This window comes from Homo sapiens, chromosome 12 (assembly GCF_000001405.40).
Source record: "Homo sapiens chromosome 12, GRCh38.p14 Primary Assembly".
Taxonomy (NCBI): domain Eukaryota; kingdom Metazoa; phylum Chordata; class Mammalia; order Primates; family Hominidae; genus Homo; species Homo sapiens.
The window spans coordinates 92,546,958-92,574,193 of record NC_000012.12 but is presented as its reverse complement, the minus strand read 5'-3'; the positions used below and the strand labels follow the sequence as shown (position 1 = coordinate 92,574,193).

The window sequence follows — 27,236 nt, the reverse complement described above, 5'->3', positions numbered from 1 at the left end:
TTTCTGGGAAAACGAAGGTAAATCTGACTATGGTTTTGTGTTCCCATGGTCAGGAAGACCAACAGGTACCCGGGTCAGCCTCAGGGCCTGCTGCCACGTGGGTATAACTGAGAACTGTGGATGCTCTCCATTGGGAGCAATAGATGATTATCCGTATTGTGCTCAATTTGAGGGGGAGGCTAAGGGCTGGGGAAGCTGGTGTGAGGTCTCTGGGATCATGAAGACATTGAAAAAGAAAAAAGAAAATGATGAAAGGCGGGACTCATGGACATTTTGTTACAAAGTGGTCCAGATTTGTGTCACAGGATGAACCTGGTACCAACCTGATCTTAGAATGTAAATGCTGGAAACAGCCACTATGTGGTAGGTTAGTGACTATAGTTGGCTGGTTTCCCTGCCAGACTTCCAGAGAAGCACTACGGGTGAGGTCAGACTTCTCCTTGCTTTTCGGTGGAAGGAGAGGACAAAGGGTTGTATATAATGGGTAAATTTCTGGCCCAGTTTATCTGTGATCCTAAATGTCTCAAAGATGGTCTCATTTGTTCCATAATAAGTTTGAAATCTTATATGATTTACAGTACACAACCCAGCCTGTGGTGGTTTGTACTATTCTGTGTGGACTAAATAGAATTTTATTTGGGGGAAGTGGTGGTGGGCAATGAGTTCAATGCTCAAATCCCCCTTGGTTATGCAGGTATCATTCATTGAGCACCTATTCCATGTGCCAGGCTCTGTTCCACACACTCTCTTCCATCTTGAAAAAAACCCTCCCAGCAAGTTTTATGAGCCTAGTTTTACCTGCAAGGCCTAATGATTTGGCCAAGACTACAGAGCTGAGGTGACAAAAAACATGAGCCCAGGTGAGCCTGGCTCCAATGCCGTGACTCACACCTAGTGCCTCCTTCCCAGACATCCTACGTCGGAGAATCACATGGTTTTCCTCAGGGATAATATGCCCATTGTTCTATCTTAGTTTGTAACTCTCTCTTGGCAGGTTGTGGGGCCTAAGATAAATATCCCATGTTATTAGGGGATTGATTTAGATCACTTACACACTCAGGAAAGATATCGGTGGTGAATAAATCTTTCTGACTTAAAATAAAATTCTATGATTAAAACACTGGATTATAAGACCTCTTCCAGGCCTGATTTCCTGAATACAGAGTAGAGTCCAGATATTTGTGTCTAGTTATTAGTTGGGAGAATGCTCTTCTGAGGTCAAAAGCATGGAAATGGGACTATTATTTCAGATCTGTCAAACTCTCACCACTGGGACCAGATGGGATGTGGGCAAGTCAATGTGAGTAGACTATTAATATTAAAGGTAATGATAATAATAATAATTAGCATTTATTGAACAACTACTAGGTGTTAGTACTGTAAAAGTATTTAGGTATGTCCTCAGCACAAATCTGAGGTCCATTTTTTTTAGATGAGGAGACAAATTCTGGGAGGGTCAGCAACTTACTCAGACAGTAAGTAGGCTGTTTAAGATTCAAACCCAGACCTTCCCACCTTCATGCCCAAATCTAAGGGTTCCTGTGATATTAATCACAGACGAATAGCTCCAGCTATGACTATGAAGAGCTACTTTAAAGTTATTAACCATTCATTTAGCAATTATTTACCAATACCTCCTTTATTATAGGCAATGTGCTGCTGAACAACAGAGACATGGCCTCTGACCTCATGGTGGAGGAGAAAAAAATTCAAATTATACAAATAAACATATAATTACAAACTGTGCTATGTGCTATGATGAAAAGATGCAGAAAAGTGGGAGATCATATCACAAGGAGGCCTAACCTAATCTAGCGATCAGAAAAGACTTCCTGGAGGCAGTGGCAATTGAGTCAATATCAGAGGGATGAGTGTAGTTAACTAGGAGGAAGGCAGGGGGAATGAGAGAAGAAAATTACTGGAAGAATGATGAGCATGTACAAAGGCCCTGAGGCAGAAGGAAAGAACTTTGAGTCTGTGGTAGTTGGACACTGCTGGCCCATGGGATAAATTTAGTTTGTAAATATTTTTCTGTTTTGGCTCACAGACTCTTTTGTGAAGATTTGAGCCCCAAAGAGTAAATATTCTGATTTCAAGCTCCTCTTGAATCATCAAATGATGTGGCAACCCTGGTCCCTGTGGGCTTCATGGCTGCAATGACAAGTGCTAAGTATCTGGCCAGTTTTTTTGGTTGTTTGTTTTGGTTTTGCGACGGAGTCTCACTCTGTTGCCAGGCTGGAGTACAGTGGCGTGATCTCGGCTCACTGCAACCTCTGCCTCTCGGGTTCAAGCGATTCTCCTGCCTCAGCCTCTTGAGTAGCTGAGACTACAGGCATATGCCACCACGCCCAGCTAATTTTTTGTATTTTTAGTAGAGATGAGGTTTCACCGTGTTAGCCAAGATAGTCTTGATCTCCTGACCTCAAGTGATCCGCCCACCTCAGCCTCCCAAATTGCTGGGATTACAGACATGAGCTACCGCATCTGGCGGTATCTGGCCAGTTTAAGTGAGGCACACACTCTCCATTTCATCAGTCTTCCTACTCCTAATTTTCTCCCTAACATCAAAGCAAGGCTTCAGTTATCGTTTATCATCATATTTGCACTGTTGCTTTTCTTATAGTGGATAATTGTTTCTTGATATTGTTGTCTCCACCAAAAATTAAAGATAGACCAAGAGGATCACGTGCTTTTCCTCAAACTCAGTGTGTGCCGTTCATGTACTTTATGGCTTGGTGACTGTGGACATTTAAATTTCCCCTGCTCTTACTTTGGAGGAAACAGAATAAAGGCCCGTAGGGTGTCTCACTATGTAACTGTCTAAAATCTGTTGACTGTTTTCTCTGCTACCAACGCTTAGTGAGAATGGGAAGTGAACTCCACTCCCTGGGCAAGCAGGGAGAGCTGAATATCTAATTGATTTTTAGTCAAAGATATAAAAAAATCCTAGCTCCACTCTTCTAAAATGTAAGACTGCACTTGTTTTTAATTGCTACTCAATATATTAAGAATTTATACTATATTAAGCAAAACAGATCTCCAGATCCCCTGCCCTGGAGAACATATGCTACTCATTTTTTTCTTTGTTGGAGAAATTAATCTTGCCATCTCCAAACCCTTGTTTCTTACATATTAGCAAGACATTAAAAATTAATTTTGAATGTTTCCTAAACACTTAAAAACACGTCACGTAAGTGCAGGTATCTCTGGTATCATGAAGAGCCCTGGTCTGTGACCTAAGAAACAGTTTGCAGTTAGTTTTGCACAGTTAATATGTTACCCAAAGATAGAGTGTAAGTCATGCCACATATTCAGAGCACTAGAGGAACTCACTGGGGGAATTTGTGAATTATTTTGTAAAGTAAAGAACTTGAAGGTAATATGCAAAGTCGCTCAATATATTCTTTTTGTAAGAACGGAGTATTCTATTAGGAATTAATACAGTGTCTTTGCACTATATATGTGCTATGATGCCTAAAATATCCGTTTCCTTATATGTAACCAAAATTACTGATGGAGTTCTATTTATGTTTGCCTTATGCATCCTGGTCTACAGTTTTTCCCTTGCTTTCTTTTCTTCTTTCTGCCATGTGTCACTAAGCCCTGCTACACATCAAATCTTCAGCTTAAACTCAACCAGCAGAGGGTGCTGTTTGAGCACTTTAAATGGACTCCTCATCTTTTTGTTTTCCAAAGAGAACAATATGGGAATAATAGGCTGGGATGATATTCAATAGGCAAGATGCTGGCAAGAGAGTATGCATCAGTGATCAGGTTTCAGTATCGTTTTGCAGAAAAATCCCTTTGTTCTCTGCTGCACAAAAGGACATTCTTTGCAAAATGCACATACAGTTTCTGGTGATAAATGCATGTGTTTAAAGGTAGATGGTGATAAATGCATGTGTTTAAAGGTAAGATGAAGGGGGTGCTGGTGGTAGAGTGGAATCGGCTTCTAAATTTACTAAGTACTTGTATCCCTTTTAGGCTTGGTGTTCTGAATCAAGATATCAGCCCCACGTGTTCTCAGCTTGCTGGTAAATGATCATGAATAATTCCTGTAGTAGCAAATGACATAATAAAATAATCAGGCATTCCCTGCCCTTTGTAGATCAATGAGCACAGATGTCTCCAAATGGAAGGCGATACTGGAGAACACTCTACATCTTGTTGGGTTTGAACATTAGAGAATTAATGGCTGTTTATCAAAATAAAGTGAGCATCTCCCTGTCCTGAAATCATGTTCAGCATTAAATATATTGTAGAAGAATACTTTGTCGCTTAAGTTTTACATAAATTTGATCAACTGTGTCTAATAGTGGATTGCACATGTCTTAGTAACATTTGTATACTTGAGTTTTTATATTAACCATTTAAAAATTTTATCAAAAAGAGAAAATTCCATATAACAACAATAACAAAAGACAAAAGCACTCCAGCTGAAGAGTAATCATTCCTGTCCCACTCCTCTTATCCTCAATGTCTCTCCACACATGTAACTTTTAATTTTTATAGCATTTTTTGGTTAGTAACCTCTCTATCTCTGAATAATATGCTTACATTGATAACTCTTGAGTTATTAGTTTTATATATGATATTTGTTTTCCTACACTGACAGATGAGAATGTAACTTAAGTCACTCAATATCTCCCGTTAGTCATATTTCTATTTTAGACCTTTATTGGTTATGTAAGGAAAACATTTGTTCCTTTAACAGTAAGCAATTTATTGTGAGTCCTCATCTTTTCAGTCCTTTTCTTCCACTTCCATCTCCCAATAAAAAGGCATTCTTCCTTTTTCTTGAGCATCTAGTATTGCTGATGTGAAATTTAATGCCAGCTTGATCCTCATTCTTTGGCAGATAACCTGCTTTTCCTTTCTGCTTTTTTCTTGAAGTCATGATCCTAGATGGAAGTCTTCTTACAGCCACTGGCGAGCTCTTCTGATCTGAAATCTTGTATTTCAGCTATACAAACTCTCCTCTATCATTCACATTAACAATTTGCTTCCCTCCGTTTTTGCTGTTCCTACATGATGTTGAGATTAGTAAGATTTGCCTTCTGCTCTCTAATTGTAATTCCATCATCTTTGTCTGTAACTTTGTAAATCAATGAATAGTGTTTACACGGGGACTCAAAACAGTATTGTTTATCACAGTGTCAAGAAGTGTGCTGTTATATTTCCTGTCTTGTACAGCTTTTAATTTTTCTGAAGTTGCTAACTGGCTTTTTAAAAGTACTATTTGCCTTTATTACGTGCCCAACTTTTTTGTCCATTGCATCAGAGATTTGGTTAAAATTTTTCCAGAAACTTCCTTCTTCTGAAGCTACTTCAGGGAAGAGTGCTTCATCCTGTTACTCTTGTCTGTACTTGTTGTCTAGGCCTCCTATACAACTGTCTCTTCTTTGTTGGGCTGCTTTCCTCATTTGTGGAACTCCAGCCTTTTATTGAAAGACACACTCAACACAATTCCTAAGAAACTGTATGTGAGATGCAGCTTTTCTGATTCTTTGAATGTGTGAAAATCAGTACATGCAAATGTGATCTATGTTCACACCTGTATAGTAATTTAATTAGGTATAGAGAATATAGTTTAAAAATATGTTTTCCTCAGAATTTTAAAGGCATTATTCCTTTTTCCTGAGCATTTAGTATTGCTAATGTGAAATTTAATGCCAGCTTGATTCTCATTCTTTTGCAGATGATATGATCTGCTTTTCCTTTCTGCTTTTTCCTTTGAGCCGTGATCACGTGGTAGAAGTCATTTTACAGCCACTGGTGGGCTCTTCCCATCTGAAATCTTAAGGCTTTCAATTGAACAGAATCTCTTTTATCATTCAAATTAGCAATTTGCTTTCCTCCCGTTTTGTTACTTATTTTTCATAATTCCTACTAATTATCTGTTAGTCTTCCTGGTTTGATCTTTAACAGTAAAATAGTAACCAATATTATCTATTTTTTAAAAAATATTTTAAGTTCTAGGATACACGGGCAGAACGTGCAGGTTTGTTACATAGGTATACACATGCCATGGCGGTTGGCTGCACCCATCAACGTGTCCTCTACATTAGGTATTTCTCCTAATGCTATCCCTCCCCCAGACCCCCACCCCCCGACAGGCTCTGGTGTGTGATGTTCCCCACCCTATGTCCATGTGTTCTCATTGTTCACCTCCCACTTATGAATGAGAACATGTGGTATTTGGTTTTCTGTTCCCGTGTTAGTTTGCTGAGAATGATGGTTTCCAGCTTCATCCATGTCCCTGTAGAGGACATGAACTCATCGTTTTTTATGGCTGCATAGTATTCCATGGTGCATATGTGAAACATTTTCTTTATCCAGTCTATCATTGATGGGCATTTGGGTTGGTTCCAAGTCTTTGCTATTGTGAATAGTGCCTCAATAAACATATGTGTGCATGTGTCTTAATAGAATAATTTATAATCCTTTGGATATATACCCAGTAATGGGATTGCTGGGTCAAATGGTATTTCTAGTTCTAGATCCTTGAGGAATCGCCACACTGTCTTCCACAATGGTTGAACTAATTTACACTTCCACCAACAGTGTAAAAGCGTTCCTATTTCTCCTCATCCTCTCTACCATCTGTTGTTTCCTGACTTTTTAATGATCGCCATTCTAACTGTTGTGAGATGGTATTTCATTGTGGTTTTGATTTGCATTTATCCAGTGACCAGTGATGATGAGCTTTTTTTCATATATTTGTTGGCCACCTTAATATCCTTTTGAGAAGTGTCTGTTTACATCCTTCACCCACTTTTTGATTTTTTTTTTTTTGAAATTTGTTTAAGTTCTTTGTAGATTCTGGATATTAGCCCTTTGTCAGATGGAAAGATTGCAAAAATTTTCTCCCATTCTGTAGGTTGCTTGTTCACTCTGATGATAGTTTCTTTTGCTGTGCAGAAGCTCTTTAATTAGATCCCATTTGTCAATTTTGGCTTTTGTTGCCATTGCTTTTCATTCAGGACATAGGCATGGGCAAAGACTTCATGACTGGTTTGATCTTTTTGTCTATTTTTATTTCATCTTCTGGGAGACTTTTCTGAGTTTTTAAAATGTATTTCTCTTTTTTATGTTGGCAATCATATTTTTAAAATCAAACCTTTTAAATCTCAGTTTGTTCATTTTTCATAGTATCCAGTTCTTGTCTAATGAAAGCACTGTATTCTTGAATCTTTCTAAGGGTGTTGGAATTTCTGCAAAAATGTCTGTTTTTTTAAATAATATGGCTTTCTATTTTGTAATCAGCTTTTCTTGTTTATTTTGATTAGAGTGTCTCACACTCAGAAGTTTTTCCAAGTGTATGGGAATATTTGGTTTTCTGTTGATATTTTAGGGCAAAGCAAATGCCATGACTGGGGTTGTAACTTATATTGTGGTGAAATCAGCTGTTTCATAAGTAGAGTTTTGATGGATTTCCTCTGCATTTTAGCCTTTATGTCTCACTCCCACTCCTGTGGTATTTCAGTTTTCAGATTTCTGAGCATCTCAATGGTTCTTCCAGGCAACCTATATCCATTGCTGTCACTAACCCTCCACCCTCTTTATTTTGCTCTAAGCTAACCCCTTTGGATGCTTTTCACCTGTCAGCATGTTTTCACTTTTCATCTGGGGTTGTTTGTTGAAAAAAAAAAATTGTTGAAATCTTTTATCAGTTTATGTCCATTTCTTTTTCTTATTTTAGCTTATGAATTTGTACCTATTTGTATTCCTTTACTAACATTTTAATAGGCTTTTGGATGGAAGAGAATATAAATACATTTGCATAATCTGCCATCTTTATCTAGAAGTCCCTGTTAATTTTTAAATATACATTTGTCTGACCTGAAATCTGTAGACACATATTTAGTATTTATTTATAGTCTACATCATTTGTAAACATGTGTTTTTAGTGCATATGTGTAAGGTGCCTTTTGGCATGTACCATTTCTCTGACAATTTTCTCAATATTTTAAGGTATAAACAGGTCAAACTTTTAAAAAAATCCTTTCCAGGTTGTAACTTACCTCAATTATATTTTTTCTAAAAACAATTCTGTAAAATAGGTATTGCCACCATCTCATTTTACAGACGAGAAACGGAGATTCCAAGAGAGTTGAATGATAAGCTTAAGATAATAAAGCTGATAAATGTTGACCTGGTTAGATCCAAACTTCGGTTCAGCGGTACATGTGCAGATTTGTTACCTAGGTAAATTGCATACGTCATGGGGGTTTGGTGTGTAGATTGTTTCATCACCCAGGTAATAAGCGTGGTACCTAATAGGTAGTTTTCAGTCCTCATCCTCTTCCCACCTTCCACCCTCAAGTAGCCCCAGTGTCTATTGTTCCCTTCTTTGTGTCCATGTGTAGTCGATGTTTAGCTCCCACTTATAAGGGAGAATATATGGTATTTAGTTTTCTGTTCCTGTGTTAGTTCACAGAATAACAGCCTCCAACCATGTTGCTGCAAAGGACATGATCTTGTTCTTTTTTATGGCTACATAGTATTCCATGGTATACTATGTATATACATGGTATATGTACCATATTCTCTTTATCCAGTCTACCACTGATGGGCATCTAGGTTGATTCCATGTCTTTGCTGTTGTGAATAGTGCTGCGATAAACATTTCTGCATGTGTCTTTATGGTAGAATGATTTATATTCCTTTGGGTATGTACCCAATAATGGGATTGCTGAGTTGCACGGTAGTTCTGTTTTAAGTTCTTTGAGAAATCACTAAACTGCTTTCTACAGTGGCTGAACTAATTTACATTCCCACCAGCACTGTATACATGTTCCCTTTTCTCTGCAGCCTTACCAGCATCTGTTATTTTTTGACTTTTTAATAATAGCCATTCTGACTGGTGTGAGACAATATCTCATTGTGGTTTTAATTTGAATTTATCTAATGATCAGTGATGTTGAATATTTTTTCATATGCTTGTTGGCCACATGTATGTCTTCTTTTGAAAAGTGTCTGTTTACCTTCTTTGCCCACCTTTTAATGGGGTTGTTTGTTTTTTGCTTGTAAATTTGTTTATCTCTCATGCTATGCTATGTCTCTTAGACAACATTTGATAAAACCAAATAAATACAACAGCATAAATAAATAAGTTAATCTGTTTAAAGAATAAATTTCTACTTTCACAGGGCATCATGTGCACTGCTTTAGTTTTCAGCTTGGTTGTACTTTTTAATAATATTTAAAACTGGTCCTGAATATTTGATAAGGATATGGCAGTCCTAACTTCTCTCATCAAACTCTATGGATAACTTATACTGATAAAATAAATTATGTTTCATAAAAGAAAAGCTGTTGTTTCAAAAGTAATGGAGGCAGGGCCAAGGTACAATCAGACAATTTTAATTGTCTTCAACTATTATATATCTTACTATATTTTAGGTCAGATAATTTGGCTCATAATATTCAAAACTGTATTAATTATGGGATTTTACAACAAGGTTATGTAGTGTATGTTTGCCAGTTGGGAAAGAAAGATAATTATGCTTGAATGTAGGTCACATTTAAGAAACCCTCTTAGGCCTATGGGAACCATGTTTCCTTAAAAATCAAGAGTTAATGATATTAAAGAGAATGGTGCCACCTCTCATCCTGTGACCCAGTTCTTTTGGTCAGAGACGATTTTTACTTTTTTTGGTGGGTGTGCATAATTTCCCGTAGGGCAGCTTGGATCAGTTGTGGTAGCTACTGAATTGGATCATGTTGGTTATAAGAAACTGGTAGATGAAGCATTACTAATGTGGATATTTACAGGCACATTTCTAGGGCTGATGTCATAAGCAGTTAGTTCTCTTAACTCCCCCCAAAGTTGGATACAAATATTGATTTTTAGCTGGGCAGATCTTTGTCTACTATGCAGTTGTTTTATTCTTTGTCCATGAAAAATTGTTGATATGTTCAAGCTCACAGTGTTCTGTTTTGTTTTCCTGATCCTTTTTTTGTTTTGTTTTTTGTTTAAGCATTACCAAATGTTAAGTCTAAAGAATTTAGATTTAAAACAAGAGTGAACTAGGAGTTCATATAAGGATATGATATTCATATAAGGATCTAACATAATTTTGTAGCATCTGAGAACTCTGTTGTAACTACTTAACCATTTGAATTGAGCTCTTAAAAAACGCTCTGCTCACAAATTTCCCAACCTCTGTTCCACCTCACTCCATCCCACTGCTCACCACCAGTAGAAAAAAGGCTGCAATGGAAAAACAGACTGTTTAAAATTCATTGCATGATACAAAAAGAAACATAAGGTTTTCTAATGCTGTAGCTCTATGTCCTGAAATTGGGGATAATTTTACAAGATATGTAGCAAAATAGATCTCAGCTCCCAATATTCAGAACAAAGCTTTGATTTTGTCACTGCAATTTAAGTGGTTCAACTTATGTTGGGGTTGAGGCAAATTGCTTTTTAAAATACAGAGAGATAGTGAGATATAAAATTTTAATTTATAATTTTAATTGGGCTGGGATTTTTTTGTCTGAAATGTGTGCATTTTCAGTTATTATTTTCATCTTTGCCTTATCTTATTACTAATGAAATACTATAGTTAACTAGTGAGCTGATGATACATTCTGAGGATGAAATTTGTAGCCTATATTTCTCTTTGTCTCTTTTCCAGATTTAAAGAATTAAGATACTTGAATAAGCTGCTGTAAGGAACCACCAATACTAGAAGACATACTGTACTTTAAGATGATTGGGCATTGTGTAGTGCAGACACCAATCCTTGGAAGGACATACAACACACTAAGGATATTTGGGGCCATGGAAAAATCTAGCTCCTGAAGTAACTGATGAGGGTCCCCCTTTTCCCAGCAAATACTCGGCCTGCAGGACTAATGTTTAACTAGCCATGTAGTTTAACATATATTTCCCTATTCCCCTCCTTCCCTTGACTTTTGTCAAACTAGCTTTCTTGGACTAGTTTGATTATATGCCTCTTAAAGGGAAGGAAGCCTTGTATCTTTCTCTCCATTGGCATCTCTATGAAATTCGCATGCTGGTTACTGAAGACAGCAAAGGCTCACAGCAAGCTATAGATGTCCTGGATGAATGTCTTTGCTGAGTCTTACAAATTTAGACCAAAAAAAGAATACTGGAATCTAGAACTAATAATATATATATATAATATATATATTTTAATAAATATATTTTAATTAAAAATATATTTTAATAATATATATTTTAATAACATATGTATTTTAATAAAATACATAGATATATATTTTTAGTCCTATACAGGTCCATTTAGCTGTTAATTTCCACTTCAGAATTCTCTTGTGATGATGTCTGAGTGGGGTATGAGTTCCTCCAGGCTTTGAGGTTTATATAAATAAGAACTATAAGATCAACATTTACCAACAGGTGAGCTGTAGGATGGTAATCCAGCTGCTGCTTGTGTTTTGGGTGTAGTACATTTAGCTAATCCTATTGACTATAATTCTAACTGGGTGGCTCTTGCTAGAACTTTGGGGAAAAGATGTAATCTTCAGGCCAAGGGTGAATGGAGTACTCCAGCTATTCTTGAAATGACCCAGATCTCAAAGCAAGAAGTTGATTTACTTTTTAAAACAAGATTTATAAGTTGCCCAAACTGTTCTCTACTCAAAGGTTATGGTTGGAACCCAACCAAGATAGTAGAAACACTGCCTTCATCAAGCCAGACATTGCTCAAGTTTATAATGCAAGATAAAGAAGAAGTAATACATGTCCTGTTTTAAAGACATGTCTAATTGCTAGGAGAGCACTCAGGTAGCAACACAATAGATCTGCCCCAGTGGTCTAAGCAAAGGCAGTCTCAAATGTTGAGAAGAGTAAGACTTAGAATAGGGAAAGGATTGTGTTTGGCTCGGTCATCTGTAAGTCTTTTTAAAGACCTAGGATGACTTTTAGGGTGTGTACATGACAGGATAAATGCAAGTGTTTCTGAGACTTGAAGACTCTGTAAATAAGGGGATTGAGGGTAGATCTAAGAGAGTTGGAGGTACCGGAAATGTTGGGAATTGGATAACGAATATCACAGAATGAAAGTCTAATTCTGGTGAAGTTAAGTTAAGAATTCTACCTTTTCCTGTTTGAATAACATGCACTGGCTTTAAATGATAATTGTGGAACATCTTAGAGAAAACCTCAGACTCCTGAGCAAGGTGTCTGTTTTAACCAACATAGCAATTTATTTCTGTGGAGAGATGAGAAAATTTTGAATGATTCTTGATTTTTAGAGCACTGCATTTGGTAACCCTATTATAAAATTTTGGATATATATTGCACCCCATAAAATAGCTACAGCAGTTTAGATTTTTTAAATGGCCAGAGCCATTATGTGCTGCAGCACTTGGATTTGGTCCATAATGCTTCGCAATCCAACAGCAATCTCTAAAGCCCAGAGCCCTGGGACTGTTTCCAACAAAACAGTAGGTCAGCACTGAAAGAGAAAGAAGTGGTTGCCTACATTGCCACAAATGGAAATGAGAGAAGAGACGTGCTTATCAGGGTAAATAAACTTGGTCTTATTATTAGAAAAGAGGTGGCAAGTGGGCGGAGGGAAAATAGGCACAGCACTGACATTTACTAAGCACCTACTCATTGTCTCACACATTATTAGATGCCTTAATTCATTACTTCATTTAGTCCTGGCAAAATTCTAAAGATTTGATTATTGTCATTATTACAGATAAAGAAACTGAAGAGAGAGTATATTAGGCCATTCTTGCATTTCTATAAAGAAATATCTGAGACTGGGTAATTTATAAAGAAAAGATATTCAACCGGCTCACGGCTCTACAGGCTCTACAGGAAGCATAGTGCAGGCATCTGCTTGGCTTCTGGGGAGGCCTCAGGAAGCTTATAATGATGGTGGAAGGTGAAGGGGAACAGGTACGTCACATGGCCAGAGCAGGAGCAAGAGAGAGAGAGTGGGGGTGAGAGGCACCACACACTTTTAAATGACTAGATCTCCTGTGAACTTAGAGCGTGAGCTCACTTAACACCAAAGAGATGGCCCAACCCATTCATGAGGGACCGGCCCCCATGATCCAAACACCTCCCACCAGGCCCCACCCCCAGCATTGGAGATTACAATTCAACATGAGATCTGGGCAGGAACAAATATTCAAATTATACCAGAGAGGTTAAGAAAATTGACCAAGGTCACACAGCAAGCATGTGGTGAATACGTTTTGTTAACCCAGGTAACTGACTCTAGAATTTATGCTCCTTTTAATCTGTCACAGTTGAGTTTTACTTTGATGACTTGTTATTAGTGACTGCTGTAAATCTATAACTGTTTAGGTCATCTCTACTGTACAATGGTCATGGGTGATTGAACCACTAATTAATCATGTGTCTTTGGGTTTATTCACTCATTAAACAATGACTTGTTGAGCCCCAATTATGTGACAGCTACTGAGTAAGGTAATTGCACTGCAGCAGGGAATAAGAGAGATGCAATTCCTGTCTTTATGAGCTTACATTATGGAAACAGTAAGCAAGTAAAGAGATTAACATGTTGAAGTCTGTGAAGGGATTACTTCAGTGAGTAGAACCTTAATGCAATCCAATACTCCAGATTGCTATAGGAATGAGATGTACTGGTAAACTGAATAGTCTGGTTATTTATGTAGACTTTATCAAGAAATGGATCTGGACTCACTTCATGGCAAATCTCCAGGTGACAATGCCCATATTGTTTCACCTACAGATTAGTTTCCATAAAACAGTGCCCCTCATTCTTCTGTGTATATGCCACTCAAACTGTTACTCCTTTAATTTTTTTCTAGTTTTTTCCTTTGGAAGACTTTGCTAGGTTTCACTGTTACTAAAAGGGAAGTAGCAGACCACTTCAGTAGGGTTATGCCATCTCTATTTTGGAGTGAGGGTGCTTTTAAAAAATGGTACTGGGTTTTTCTTCTTTTAAAGGTCACACAGTTCTGATTTAGAATGCTCTCAAAAACATATAGATAAATTTAAAACATGAAATTTGAACATGAGTGCTATAATAACATTTATTTAAAAAAAACTATCAAACTTGGCTAAACAAAATGTGGTACCTATACACAATGGAATACTATGCAGCCATAAAAACAAGATCATGTCCTTTTCAGGAACCTGGGTGGAGCTGGAGGCCATTATCCTTAGCAAAGTAACTCAGGGACAGAAAACCAAATGCCACATGCTCTCACTTATAAGTGGGAGCTAAATGATGAGAACACACGGATACATAGAGGGGAACAACACACACTGAGGCCTTTCAGAGAACAGAGGGTGGGAGGAGGAAGAGGGTCAGGAAAAGTTACTAATGGGTACGAGGCTTAATATTTGGGTGATGAAATAATCTGTACAACAAACCTCCATGACGCAATTCTACCTATATAACAAACTTGCACATGTACCCCGAACTTAAAATAAAAGTTTAAAAAACTATCAAACGATACTGTATATATTTTAAAGGTACATACATACACAGAAAAAGATCTAGGAGTAGACATACCTGATCCTGGGGAGGAAACTGGAATTGCAGCTGGTGGCCAAATGGGATTTTATCTAATTTATACTATTATTGTATTTTACAGGGAGAATGTATTCATATATTATTTTTATAATAAAAAATAATGTGAGAAGAAGTAAGATGAATGGAGACCAGCTAGGAGTCTATTGTAGTATTCCAGGAGAGAGATGGTCCTGACCTGAAATAAGCATGGAGGCAGTATAGCCTAGAGACTGGGAACAAAAGGCTGATTCCAGACTGCTTGGGCTTGAATTTCTGCTCTTACTCTCACCATCTGTGTGCCAACTGGAAACATTACTTAACCTCTTTTTGTCATGGCCATTTCATCTGTAAATGGCTATGAGCAGAATATCACCTACCTAATAGGGTTGTTGTGATAATTAAGTGATTTAGGACATGAGAGGTGCTTAGAACAATGCTTGGTACATAGTAAGGCCTCTATAAATATTAGCTACTATTTTAGGAGGCATAAACAGCATTGGGTGGGGGGAAATGGGAAGAGTGATGAATAACTGAAGATGGTAATACAGTGGACACCAAATTGATGCTGAATATCTTGAGAGGCCTTGTGAGTCATCAGTCATCATACTTTTGACCATCTCTATGCCCTGAAGTCACAGGGTATAGAACATTATGATGACTGTACTAATTCTATGACAGATACTGGATGTTGCCTTTCTAGTCGTGAATTCCAATCTGGAATGAGATGGTCACATCCTTAGCCTCTCTGTATAGTTCTTTAATGAGTACGTTGGTAACCATGCTACTTATCTTTAGTGCCTAGATTTCTTTTGTAATTAATAAGGTGACTGTACACATTTCAGCAGATATAAAATGCCTCCTGTCCTCTTTGCTCTACTTAACTCTATTGCATTTTCAGTCACTGCTAAGTCTGCTTGTCTGAATGATGTTACAGAAAACAAGAGGAGTCAAAGGAAAAACTTATTACCTCTCGGGGTCTGTTTGTGTGAAAACTCAAAGATAAATATGACTCTGGGTGAGGTGGGGAAAGGCCCTAGCACACTGCCTCCTTCTCTGAATTATTTTAAGGATCCACTGAGGGAAAGTGTGCTTTGAGGAAAAGTCCAGCACTGCACACATCAGTATTTAGTCTACTGGCTTTCTTTCTATTTGTTCTTTAAAATATTCCATGTGAAAACACTGGAGAAAAAATTCTAGATGGCTGCTTTCTGAATAAACAGCTTTCACCAAGTTAATATTTCTCTTAGTTTTGTCTACTTATCTTATCTTTGAATCTACTGACTATTGAGTAATTGTTGAAACCTTGGCATTTTATTCACTTCAATTTTGAGAACACTGGTAAGACAATAGCTGAACCTTTGGGAAAAGGACAAATATTTTTAAAAAGGAAAAATATTTAACTTAGGTGTTCATCTCCCTTCTCTGTGAATTGTCTCACTATGCATTTTTTTCCCATTATGGCCCTAAATGAAGTTTTTGTGACATCGTCTTTTCAGGAAACTCTTTGGGTTTAACTGGAGGCTTTAATTTGGTTTCAGTTCACCTTAGTTTGGGTCCTAACCTAGACCAATGTGGACCCTCTTAGATAAATAGTCAGTAATCTACAAATGATAACCAGAATTCCATAATTCTGCCCTTTCCCTATGCTGGCCCATATTCCAGATGATCATGCCTTCCTGCTTTCTACCACAGGAAAAAGAGTCCTTTTGATACTATTCATATTCTTTTCATTTTTTATAAACAAGGAATATGACTTTACATATTTCTGTTTTTTTTAATCTGGATTTTTCTCATTCAGATATCAGGTAATACCTTAATATGTTATAATACATTTGAAATGAAAAGTTACTGATATTTTGTGAAATTCTAAACCATGCTTTTTGAAAGCATTTGTTGAGATAGAATTGGCACACAATAAACCACACGTATTTCAAGTGTACAATTTAAAAGCTACTTTTGAGTAATAAACCCAATTCATTTTCTTCAGCAACTCTTATTTAGGTACCAGTGTATCTTTCTTCTTGTCTTCAAAGCTAAGCTTCTTAAGGGCATTGTCTTAATTTGGTTTGTTTAATTACTCACCTTCCAGTAAAGTCCGTTCTTAATCTCTCTCAGCCAGGCTTCTGTTCTCATTACTTAGCTGAAATTGCTGTGGCAAGGCTCACCTGCCAAATCCTGTGGACATGTTTCTGGTCTTCCCTTACTTGGATTCTTTGTGACACTGGCCGCCATTGACCATTCTCTCTCATCTTGAAAATTTCAACTTTCTTGGCCTCCTCAGTGACACACTCACCTGGTCCTCCTCCGACCACTGACAAGCTTCCTTCCTGCCTGCATCTTCTATCTGACCCTTCTTCACTCATCTGCCCTTCTTCGCTCATCTCCTCAAGCTTTCTTCCTACTTTCCCCAAGTGAGCGCATTTTCTTAACTTGTTACTCATAGTGAGCACATGTTGATGAGTTACAAATGAATGATTTTAGCTTAGACCTCTTTGCCGACATTCAGAAGTATGTACAGGAACTGCTTACTGGACACTTCTACCCGCATATCCTATAGACGTAAAATTCAGTATCTTAAAAACTCACTTTGTTATCATCCCCCACCCCACCCCCGCAAAACCTTCTCTTCATTCTCTATTTCCTGGCTTAAGACACATGCCTTCCCTGTGGGAAGCTTACAGTGTTGTCTGGGGAAACAAAATACCAATGCATAAAATAACCACAAACAAGCTTGTGTTGTTTAGGTCTGTTTGGTGTCATGAAGCAGCCAAGGGTTCAATGGTGCTACATAAATGTCCAAGAACAGAACTTTAGAGAATAAAGTCCTGTGATGGAGCAGAGCTGACAGGTGCAGAGTGTTCAGAAAGGCAAGAACATCAAAGTTAGAAAGGAGTTGTCAAAAAAACCTTCACAGAGCCGATGCCACTTCATTTCTTCATCTACTCAACTGCTGTTTGTTGGGGCTTTCCACATGCCAGGAACTCTAGGTTCTGGAGAACCATCAGTGGATGAAAGGCATGGCTCTTGCTCCCACGAGCTTATATTCTACCAGGAAGAATCGGACAGAGAATATGGAAAACATTCATAGAAATATACATTTAGATAGAGATAAATACTATGGAGAAAAGAATAGAATGTAATGAACTAAAAAGTGATAAGAGGCTGGGAAGACTCTTGTAGACATCATGGTGAGGGAAAACTCTCAGAAAAGTGACATTTGAGCTGTTTGTTGAAGAAATAAATGAATCTTCCTCTCTTCTGCAGCTCTGGAGAGAAAAGGTTTAACAACCAGATTAAACCATTCAAAGGATTCCACAGAACAGGTGGTGCACTGAGTTTATTAGAACCTCCACAAGGCATAAGAAACAAATCTTTCTGTTTCACTTTCTTTCTTCAACATTTGCAATAAGACGCAGACTCAAAGAACTTTTCTTTCTGACCCAAATACTGTGGGTATGCCTACAACACAGAGAAAATAAAAAATACTCTGAGTGAAGAGACCCTTCTCTGTAGTTTCTAAAGTCAAAAATCCTTATCAATGAAAAATAATTGATGGTATCCTCAAATCCTATGGCTTTTTCAACATATGAGGGAAAAATATAACAGAATTGTCTTGTGGGTGGCATCCTGAAAGTTTATTCAGGGAACTGAATTCAGCATGTTGGGAATGCAACTATAACTAAGACAAATTTCATAAAGGTCTTATCTTCTAGTTGGAGGAAATAGATAATAAATTAGTAAACAGGAAAATAAAAAAGGTTTATGAGAGTGATAATTACTATTTATAAAATAAAGGGGGCAGGGTAAGGGGATAGAAAATAGAGAAGGAAGAGCAAATTTAGAAAAAGAATCACCTCCTAGGAAGTGATTTTTTAATTTTTATTTTTTGAGATGGAGTCTTGCTCTGTCACCCAGGCTGGAGTGCAGTGGTGCGATCTTGGTTCACTGCAACCTCTGCTTCCTGGGTTCAAGAGATTCTTGTGCCTCAGCCTCTTGAGTAGTTGGGATTACAGGCATGTGTCACCATGCCTGGCTAATTTTTGTATTTTAAGTAAAGACGGGGTTTCACCATGTTGGCCAGTCTGGTCTCAAACCCCTGACCTCAGGTGATCCACTCACTTTGGCCCCCCAAAGTGCTGGGATTACAGGCATGAGCCACTGCGCCAGGTCCAGGAGGTGATATTTGAGTGGAGACCTGAGAGGTGAGGAGATGCCAGTCCCATGAGGGAGAAGCCTCGGGGAGAGTGCCCCTGCAGTGGCCGCAGCACGTGGGAGAACACTGAGTTGAAAATGAGCCTGGTGGGAAGGCCAGTGTGGCTGGGGTGGGGTACAGTGTGAAGGAGGTGAGTGATGAGGCCACCTGAGAAGACAGGGCCTTGTACATGGCAGGAAGGAGTTGGAAGTTGTTCTAAGTGCAGAGGGAAACCAGTGAGAGGTTTGGAGCAGGAGACTGATGTGGTATAATGAAATTAACCTTTCAGCAGGATCACTGACCCTGATGCAGAAAATGGAAGCAAGGGTATATTTGGATCCTGGAATGGTTCTCGACACAGAAGGCATTAGAGAAATATTTCATGAAAGAATTCATCAACCAATAATCCATTAAAAACTAAGACAGTTCTGACCTTTAAAAAGGTTGTTTTCTTATTCCCCAAGATCAATGTTATCTGGCATTTTCAATGGATCCAGCTTGTTGTTCACAAGATATAGGAACAAATGTTTCTTCACTTTGAAGAAGCAGGGAGTCAGTCGGCCGGGAGTGTGGTTTATTCAGCAGAGGCATAATTTCTCACTTCTATACTTTGCTATTTACAGCACACCATTTTTATAAACACAGCATTTAGGCCAGAAAAGGAAGTCCATTTGGCCTATACAGCTCTTATATCAAGAGAAAAATTTCTCCCAAATTTTCTCATCATTCTGAATGAACTAAGGTCCTCAAAAAGTGCACACTCAGTTCTCTTGTTGGAGACAAGATTTATAAACAGTTTATGCACCACACATTTAGTTTTGCCACAGTGGCAGCAGCAGGATAAATAAAACTAGGCCTTTTTGTTCAGTGATTTAAAATGTAAGAAAATGAATGTGCACTTGCATTGTTATAGGGGAGGAAGGAGAACGTCATTCCTGAAGAGTGCTGAGCAAAGTTTCATTTCCTAAGCTCAAATCCCTTTGCTCCTCTTTTGGAAAGCCCATAACTCCCCTTGGGAGATATAATTTTTCTTGTGGAGTAAGGAAAAAGAACTAAGACTTACTCTCATTAGAGAAGCTGGAAGTCTTGGTTCCTGGTTTTCATTATTTTGGGTTTCTGTTTGAAGATGTGTAATCTTGGAAAACATTTAATGGTGACCTTGGGACTTTCTGCTTGAAGTTTTCAAATGATCCAGATGACCATGTGAGACAGAAATCCTCTCTTTAAGGAGCATTTTAGGAAGACAATAGGACTTAATGTCAGAGCCTGGGAGTTGAGTCTTGTCACCATTATACTTATTGTGTGGGTTTTAGCAAGTCACAGAAGTCATCCTACAGGACGGTGAAGAGCCGATGAATCTGGTGTTTGGTGATTGCCAGGCACTTTGACAATAGTGATTATTGATCATTGTTCTGATTATCATCGTTTTTACTCTCCTGGTAGATTTATTCTTTGGGGGAACTTGTTTTCCCCAACAGACTTACTTATTTGAGGTTTTTGTACCATTCTTATTTTGGAGGAGAATGTTCTAGTTACTGAATTCAATATAACAAACATTTAAATTTTAAAATAAAGAAGATTACGTATTAGAAGGGGTTAACAAGATAGGTTGGTATTAACTTAATCTCACATAAATTGAGGAAAGAAGCAGGAAGAAAGTGCATGCCATGAGTTAACAAAGACTATGTAGCATGAATTCTGTCAGGGAGAACCATGGAAAAGACTCCGTGGGGAAGTGGTGGCAGAGAAAAGAGCTCTGTTACCTGCACAGGGGTGAGACAGGCTGGAAAGGCCCTGGCCAGGAAGTAGACCGACCTCCTGTGAAGGGGCAGGCACAGGACACGTAGGGGTCAGGCAGGAAGTCCAGACCAGCACGTACAATATGCCTCTGGTAAGTGTGGCAGTGGCCAGCATGGGATTTTCCAGCATAGCTGTCAGCATCAGAGACCGAGAGCAGAAGGAAGGGCAAGTTTCCACAAGCCCAGTGACAGGAGCACGGGAGTGAGTGATAATAACAGCTTCTGGCAGCCAGGCAGTAGCTAATCAGGACCAGAAAATCTGGCATGAGTAGCAGGGTCTCAGAAAGCTCCCCCACCACTATCTTCTACCCCTACACACACACACACACACACACACACACACACACACACACACGTCTCCACTCTCTCTTCTGTTATAACTATTTATTGAGCAAAGGCTCTAAAATCAGAATGCCTGTTTGAGTTCTGGTTCCACCATGGAATGGCTGTGTGTCCTTGGAAGAGTTCCTCAAACCCTCTGTAGCATGGGTCTGCTGACTATGTAGGGCTCTCCAGCATCGCCGTGTTGTGAACGGGAGGGGTAATCATGTGTAGGAGTTGTGTGCCAGAGTCTGGCCCATAATACATGCTCAACAAATAGGTTGAACAGGAATGAAACTAAGAGATCAGTCTTAGAGCCAAATCTGGGCTCACACATGAGAATCAAGATGGCTCTCACAACAGAGATGTAACGTGGAGCAATGGCAAGCCTTGGCTAGTCGTGGATCTCAGAGGGTGGAGTTGGTTACCTTGACATCTCTTTTGTCTGAATTGGGGTTCATTCTATAGATTGGCATAGGGTTGGGCTTCAGATGAGGGTCAAGGAGAGGGATGCAGCATCTAGAGGCCTGGCAGGTACACAGTCCCATAGCGGGTAGGAGTGCAACAGAACAGCATTCTGGGGTGGTGGCAGGGGCTGCAACAGGGTAAAAAACACATAGGCAGGCTGGAAAGTCAGATGATAAAGGCTGAGGAGTGAGTGGGTCACTAGAAGGTAAAAACAGCCATCCAATCATCTCCAAGAAGTCCTGAGGTCAAATTCCAGAGAGTTGGAGGTTGGCCAAAAAGATAAGCAGGATTGAGTGAGGACTCTTGGGAAGCAGGCAGACTTGAGTAGGCTGTTGGTTTAGAAATAGATGGTGGTAGTGAGGGAGAAATTAAATAAACAAGCATGATTTGTGGTACAAGTTACAGAAGAGAAAGGAAGACAGGGATCAAGTGCTGGTGTGGAGTTATTTATGGAATGAAGGAATAATGATTCTTTGATCACATTAGTAGTTAATGTTTGAGTATAGATAGGTGGAGGAAGGTTGCAGGAGGGAGGAAGTGTTCCTCTCCCAAAAAGGGAGGGTGAAGATCTAGAGAAATAAAGAGGTAGAAAAGGGAGAAATGAGGAAGGCTTTCTCTGATGGCCTCATTCTCAGTGAAGAATGACACAAAGTCATTCTGGAGGGGGCAGGGGAGGTGCAAGGTGGAGGCCTGAGGAAAAGGTGTCAGATAGTGACTGTGGGGAATTTTTGAGGGAGCTAACTGGAGATGAATCATTCCATGGTCATGATTTCTGCATATCTGGAATGCACCTACTCCAGGCTCAGGCTCAAATGGAAACTGAAAATTGCCCCAACTAATGGCCTGACATAGCAAAACCAAGCTCATCCTCCCCCACTCCAGCTCAGACAAATCACATGCATTGCTTGTCCCCATTTCCTGCCATAAGCTGTCCCCTTAACACTATTCTGTTGGTCTCACTCCCACTTCACCCTAGACAGGGCTCTCAGAGATTGCCCAGGCAACCTGGAGTCCTGTGATCTTTTCTTAGTCACTTTTCTGGCCATCTTTGGGGAATAAACAACAACACTTCTTTTTGAAATGTTCTTCTTCCTTACCCTCTCTCCCTACATTTTGTGTGACAGATTCCTTCTCATTTTGCAGGTCTCATTTTAAAACTCACCAACCCGGGCTTTCATGAGACCCTGACAGAAGGTTCATTCCTGTCCTATGTTCTCACAGCATTCACTCCATCTACCCCTCTGATATGTACACAGGAAGAAAGGGGCAATTGCTTTGCTCATTTTCTGGGTCCCAACTGTCAAGTAAGCTCCCTGAAGCCAAAATCTGCCCCAGAGGGTAGCACACAGTAGGTGCTCCATATATATTCGTAGAATGAATGAATGGGCAAATAAATGAATTAATTACCATTCATTACCCTTGTTCTTTTCCATATCTCTTACTGCTGTGTATCCTTCACTGGTGTCTCTTCTTCCTCCTATGGTGAAATGTGCTACCTCAGCCTTTTCCACACAGGAGTTAAGGCCTCCATAGTAGACCTGGCTTCCCAGACCTAGAAGACTGGGACCGTCTTCTCTCCATCTGAAAAAGGCAACCGAACACAGCTTCACATTAAACATCCAAGTACAACCTTCATGCTGGTCAGTTCTATTTCTTCATGGGCTCTCTTTTCTTTGGGCCCCTTTGGTGTCCTTGGTTGTCCTATGTAATCATGCCATCCAATTTAATTCTTCCTTTTTCTGGCTGACCCATTTTAAGAACCTTCCTTCACTGATGTATGCATTATCTTTTCATGAATGGTTATTCTGACGGACGAAAAAAAATTCTTATAATTTCAAATTAGTTCCTGGAATAAACTCTCCAGTTTCCTGACAAATACAAATATGGGGCATAATAATGTCTAGAAAAAGGACCTTATCCAGAGGCCAGCTCTGAAAATTGCAATCATGAAACCCAAGGCAGGAAACAATCTTAGTTGTATTTGTCAAAGTGATGAGCACTAGGTATCAGTGAAGTGGGTGGGTCATATCCCAGAGAATGGTCACTGCTCATGAGTCAGGTGGTTGCTTTCTGGAACTCTTTCCCCCAGCCTCTCAGTAAGTGGATAAAAAAGCTTCCTAGAGAAACATCTGCTTAATAGTGTGAACTGTGGAGCCAACTGCATGGATTCAAATCCCAACATCACCCCTTACTAGTGGAGTGAGTGGAGTGACCTCAGTTAAGGCATTTGATCTCTCTGTAGCTTAGTTTTCTTGTCTGTGAACTGGTGGTAATAATCATACTTAAGTAATAGGGTGGTTGTGGATCTTAATGATTTAGGATATAAAGCATGTAGACATGTCCCTGGCAGATTGTAAGTGCTACCATAATTGATCTATTAGTTATGGAGGCAGAGTCCAGTCATAAAGCAGAGTACTGGCAAAAGTGAAATTGGGTACAAAGGCTCTGAGCTCCAGATAGTGTTGCACATGGGGCAGGAGACTGGGGCTCTGTGAAGAAGAGTGTCTGAAATTGACACACCCAGAGCTAATTGTCTGGAGTACAGGGTCAAGGCCCTGAACATATGTATATTCTTAGAGCTAAGGTTCCCACTAATCTTTGCATGCATTCCCTGTGTATATTGATGAATTGATGAGTTTCCACTTAGTTTCTTCTTCTTTTCTTTTCTTTTCTTTTTTTTTTTTTTTGAGAGAGAGTCTTGCTCTTTTACCCAGGCTGGCCTGCAGTGGCACAGTCTTGGCTTTCTGAAACCTCTGCCTCCCGGGTTCAAGCGATTCTCCTGTCTCAGCCTCCTGAGTAGCTGGAATTGCAGGTGCCCACCACCACACCCGGCCAATTTTTTTTTTTTTTTTTTTTTTAAGTAGAGACAGGGTTTCAGCATGTTGGTCAGGCTGTTTTCAAACTCCTGACCTCAAGTGATACGCCTGCCTCAGCCTCTCAAAGTGTTAGGATTACAGGCATGAGCCACCGCGCCCAGCCTCCACCTGGTTTCTGATGTGAATTCTTTTTCATTCTCCCTCAGGGTTGGAGCCCTTCTTGGAGTTCTCATCCCATTGGCTGTCTACATCTTTTCTATCAAGACCATACACATAAGGATAACACATGAGCCTCCTAAGGGCTTTGACAGGGTAAAGAAGGAACTTGAGTTGGGACTGAAGTCTGAACAATTATAAGGAGAAGTTAAACATTTTTTTTTTTTTGCCATTTAAAATTTTCTCATGTCCTTTTGATTGCACATCTTTGTGTAACTAGGAAATCAGAAATTAGGGTTATTCTGGAACTCAGCCCACACCTACCTTTCTAGAATTTTTTTCCCATGACCATTCTACCAGTACCTTAAATGTGTCTAAAACCAGTCTATTTGCCATCCCCCAAGCATACTTAAGAAAACTGTGGGCCGGGCGCGGTGGCTCATGCGGGCGGATCATGAGGTCAGGAGATCGAGACCATCATGGCTAACACGGTGAAACCCCGTCTCTACTAAAAATACAAAAAATTAGCCATGCCTGGTGGCAGGCGCCTGTAGTCCCAGCTACTTGGGAGGCTGAGGCAGGAGAATGGCGTGAACCTGGGAGGCGGAGCTTGCAGTGAGCCGAGATCGCGCCACTGCACTCCAGCCTGGGCAACAGAGCGAGACTCCGTCTCAAAAAAAAAAAGAAAAAAGAAAACCGTGGAATGATGATTCTCTCCTGAACTTTTGGCCATTCCTCTTCCTCTGCTCTCACATATCTCACAGTGAGACCTTAACTATCTCTGAAGCTTTCTTGTAATATGTTAGAGGGCCTCCACGAACATGCCATTTTTTTGTTGTTGTTTAGACCAGTGATTCTCAAATGTGCACACAAATCACCTACGGAATCATGGTCGAATGCACATTACGATTCTGGGGATCCTGTATAGGGCCCGACAATCTAATTTTGTATCACTCCCAGCTGGTGTTGATTCTGTGGGTCCTTGTGCCAATTCCAAGACTTTCCTAAATTGATCCTATATCACAGTTATCCCTATGCCATTTCTCCAATTATGTCTTGAGCTAGTTGATGGTGGCATTAGTACATATATACATGTTTATATCCTCCCAAATGCCTGGCACATCTTCTCCCATATTGCTGGTGCTCAATAAATATTTGAGGAATTTGCAATAAATGCTTAAACGTTCTGTTTCGTATCAGAGTGGGCTTATAGACAGAACTTGTCTTCTCCCTTACCTCTCACCTCAACCCTGGACCCCATCTGTCACTAGAAGGATTCTCCTTCAGATTAAAATGTTAATGATTTGAAGTGTTACCCGTATCAATAATATTTGCATAGAAAAAAAGATCACCTGCACATATGATACACCATAGTCTTTGCAATGCTTCTCTTGTTCCCCTAGGTAATTAATTTCATAGCATCTTGCTGAGAGGCATAGCTCTCCTGGGTATATCTGAGCCAAGGGAGATGTGCTCCTGCCACAGAGTGCTATTTAGAAGTCTCATAGACTAAAAATTCTTTACTATCTGGATATCAGAATTATATAGAGATTTATAATTCTTTAGCTGCCTTGGCTTCTGAGTAACCCCTCACCCCATCTGGTAACCTGGAGGTGGTATTACTTTGCAGTACAGGCTTCACAATTTCCTGCTAGTCCTGGAACTTCAGTAGGCATGCTGATTTTAATCATCTCCATGTTGCACATAGCATCACATGATGTGTTCAGTCTTGGGAAAGGAAAAAAAAAATCCTTCCTAATCCTTCTTGGTGGAATTGCCATCTCTGTCCTCCCCGTGCTTCTCATGAAGCTTGTGCTGTGTTCTGCTGCAGTTGCTGCTTTTGAGACCTTGTAGTCATTGCACAACCAGCTCTCTATCCATGGCTTTATGTCAGTTAATTCTGAAATTGCTGGGAAGAGAGGGATGAATCAATTCACTTTCCACAGAAGGTCACCGATTTTAATTTTCTTTATTATCTGAACTATGGCTTGCTGGAGAGATCTTTCTGGCACACCAGGGACCTCTTTCATCCAATTATCTTTCTGACCACTCAGCTCTCCAGCCTGTACTCCTCTCTGTGGCACATGGCTCTGTTATAGTCTAAACATACAAAGGAACTGGACTCTCATGATGGGATTCTGGGACCTTTAACACTTAAGCAGTAAAGACATATTTGAACAGAGGAGTCTTCCCAGGCTCTTCAGCTTACTCCATGTGGCCAATTGTTCCCTACACCTATGCCTAAGTTGCACCCTGACCAGATGAGGCCATCTGATTGAATGAATCATAACTTTGGGAGCTACTTTGTCGAGTAGCCTCACGGAAACATTTCCAAATGTAGTTTTTTCTCAGGTTACTTAGAGGCTCTCGCCTGGAGCCACAGACTTTTAGAGCTACATGTGATACAGCATGTAGGGCAATTTGCAAATAGACTATTACAGAGTGAGACAGAGAGGCCTTTGGTGCACTCTTCTTTAGAGATCACTTGCCCATCATCTCAATCCTCCTGTGTCAACCTTAGTTTTTATTCTGGCTACTTTAGTAATTATTTGCCCTCACACAAAACACATGCATTTTTGTGTTTGTGGATGAGTGGATCAATATTACACTTCATTCTACTTTGTGGGGTAGCATTAGGCTGTCACTCAGAGTCATTTACAATGACCTATCTTTAAAAAGGACATGTTCAGGTTATGGGCAAAGGCTCATCTGAAACCCTAGAAATTGTAGATGGAGACTATTTCACAGGATGTTTGAGAGAGGACACCCTGGGTTAATTATTAGAAGTCTGGGGCAATAGCTATCATGTAGAGTGTTTCAGAAATTAACTTAATGTGAGAATAGAGGTCACCTGATTGCTGAAGTGTAAGGACAGGTGGCATATGGGCCCAAATTTGGCTTCAATTTCCCTTCAAAGTTAATGAGTGTTGCAGGTGCTTATCTAATCATGGCATTTGGACCAGTATGTTTT

At 39.5% G+C, this 27,236-nt stretch overlaps 1 long non-coding RNA gene across 2 annotated transcripts in view, besides 6 other annotated features; it reads right to left on the bottom strand.

Annotated features, from left to right (window-relative positions):
* Positions 1–16,910, bottom strand: part of LOC105369905 (uncharacterized) — a 72,972-nt gene extending 56,062 nt beyond the window's left edge. For both annotated transcript variants that reach the window (XR_945211.3, XR_001749261.3), the window contains exon 1: positions 16,596–16,910. This is a non-coding gene — a long non-coding RNA (uncharacterized LOC105369905). The remainder of the gene's footprint in view (positions 1–16,595) is intronic.
* Positions 3,543–3,672: an enhancer, noted in NCBI's record as "active region_6751". NCBI's record gives its function as "activates an Ori minimal core promoter by ATAC-STARR-seq in GM12878 lymphoblastoid cells {active_cell/tissue: GM12878}" and the evidence as "EXISTENCE:reporter gene assay evidence [ECO:0000049][PMID:35858748]".
* Positions 13,032–13,111: a silencer, noted in NCBI's record as "silent region_4702". NCBI's record gives its function as "represses an Ori minimal core promoter by ATAC-STARR-seq in GM12878 lymphoblastoid cells {active_cell/tissue: GM12878}" and the evidence as "EXISTENCE:reporter gene assay evidence [ECO:0000049][PMID:35858748]".
* Positions 16,875–17,075: a silencer, noted in NCBI's record as "peak1886 fragment used in MPRA reporter construct". NCBI's record gives its function as "represses an SCP1 promoter by STARR-seq MPRAs in K562 erythroleukemia cells {active_cell/tissue: K562}" and the evidence as "EXISTENCE:reporter gene assay evidence [ECO:0000049][PMID:32103011]".
* Positions 20,554–20,743: an enhancer, noted in NCBI's record as "active region_6750". NCBI's record gives its function as "activates an Ori minimal core promoter by ATAC-STARR-seq in GM12878 lymphoblastoid cells {active_cell/tissue: GM12878}" and the evidence as "EXISTENCE:reporter gene assay evidence [ECO:0000049][PMID:35858748]".
* Positions 21,873–22,312: an enhancer, noted in NCBI's record as "active region_6749". NCBI's record gives its function as "activates an Ori minimal core promoter by ATAC-STARR-seq in GM12878 lymphoblastoid cells {active_cell/tissue: GM12878}" and the evidence as "EXISTENCE:reporter gene assay evidence [ECO:0000049][PMID:35858748]".
* Positions 26,475–26,675: a silencer, noted in NCBI's record as "peak1885 fragment used in MPRA reporter construct". NCBI's record gives its function as "represses an SCP1 promoter by STARR-seq MPRAs in K562 erythroleukemia cells {active_cell/tissue: K562}" and the evidence as "EXISTENCE:reporter gene assay evidence [ECO:0000049][PMID:32103011]".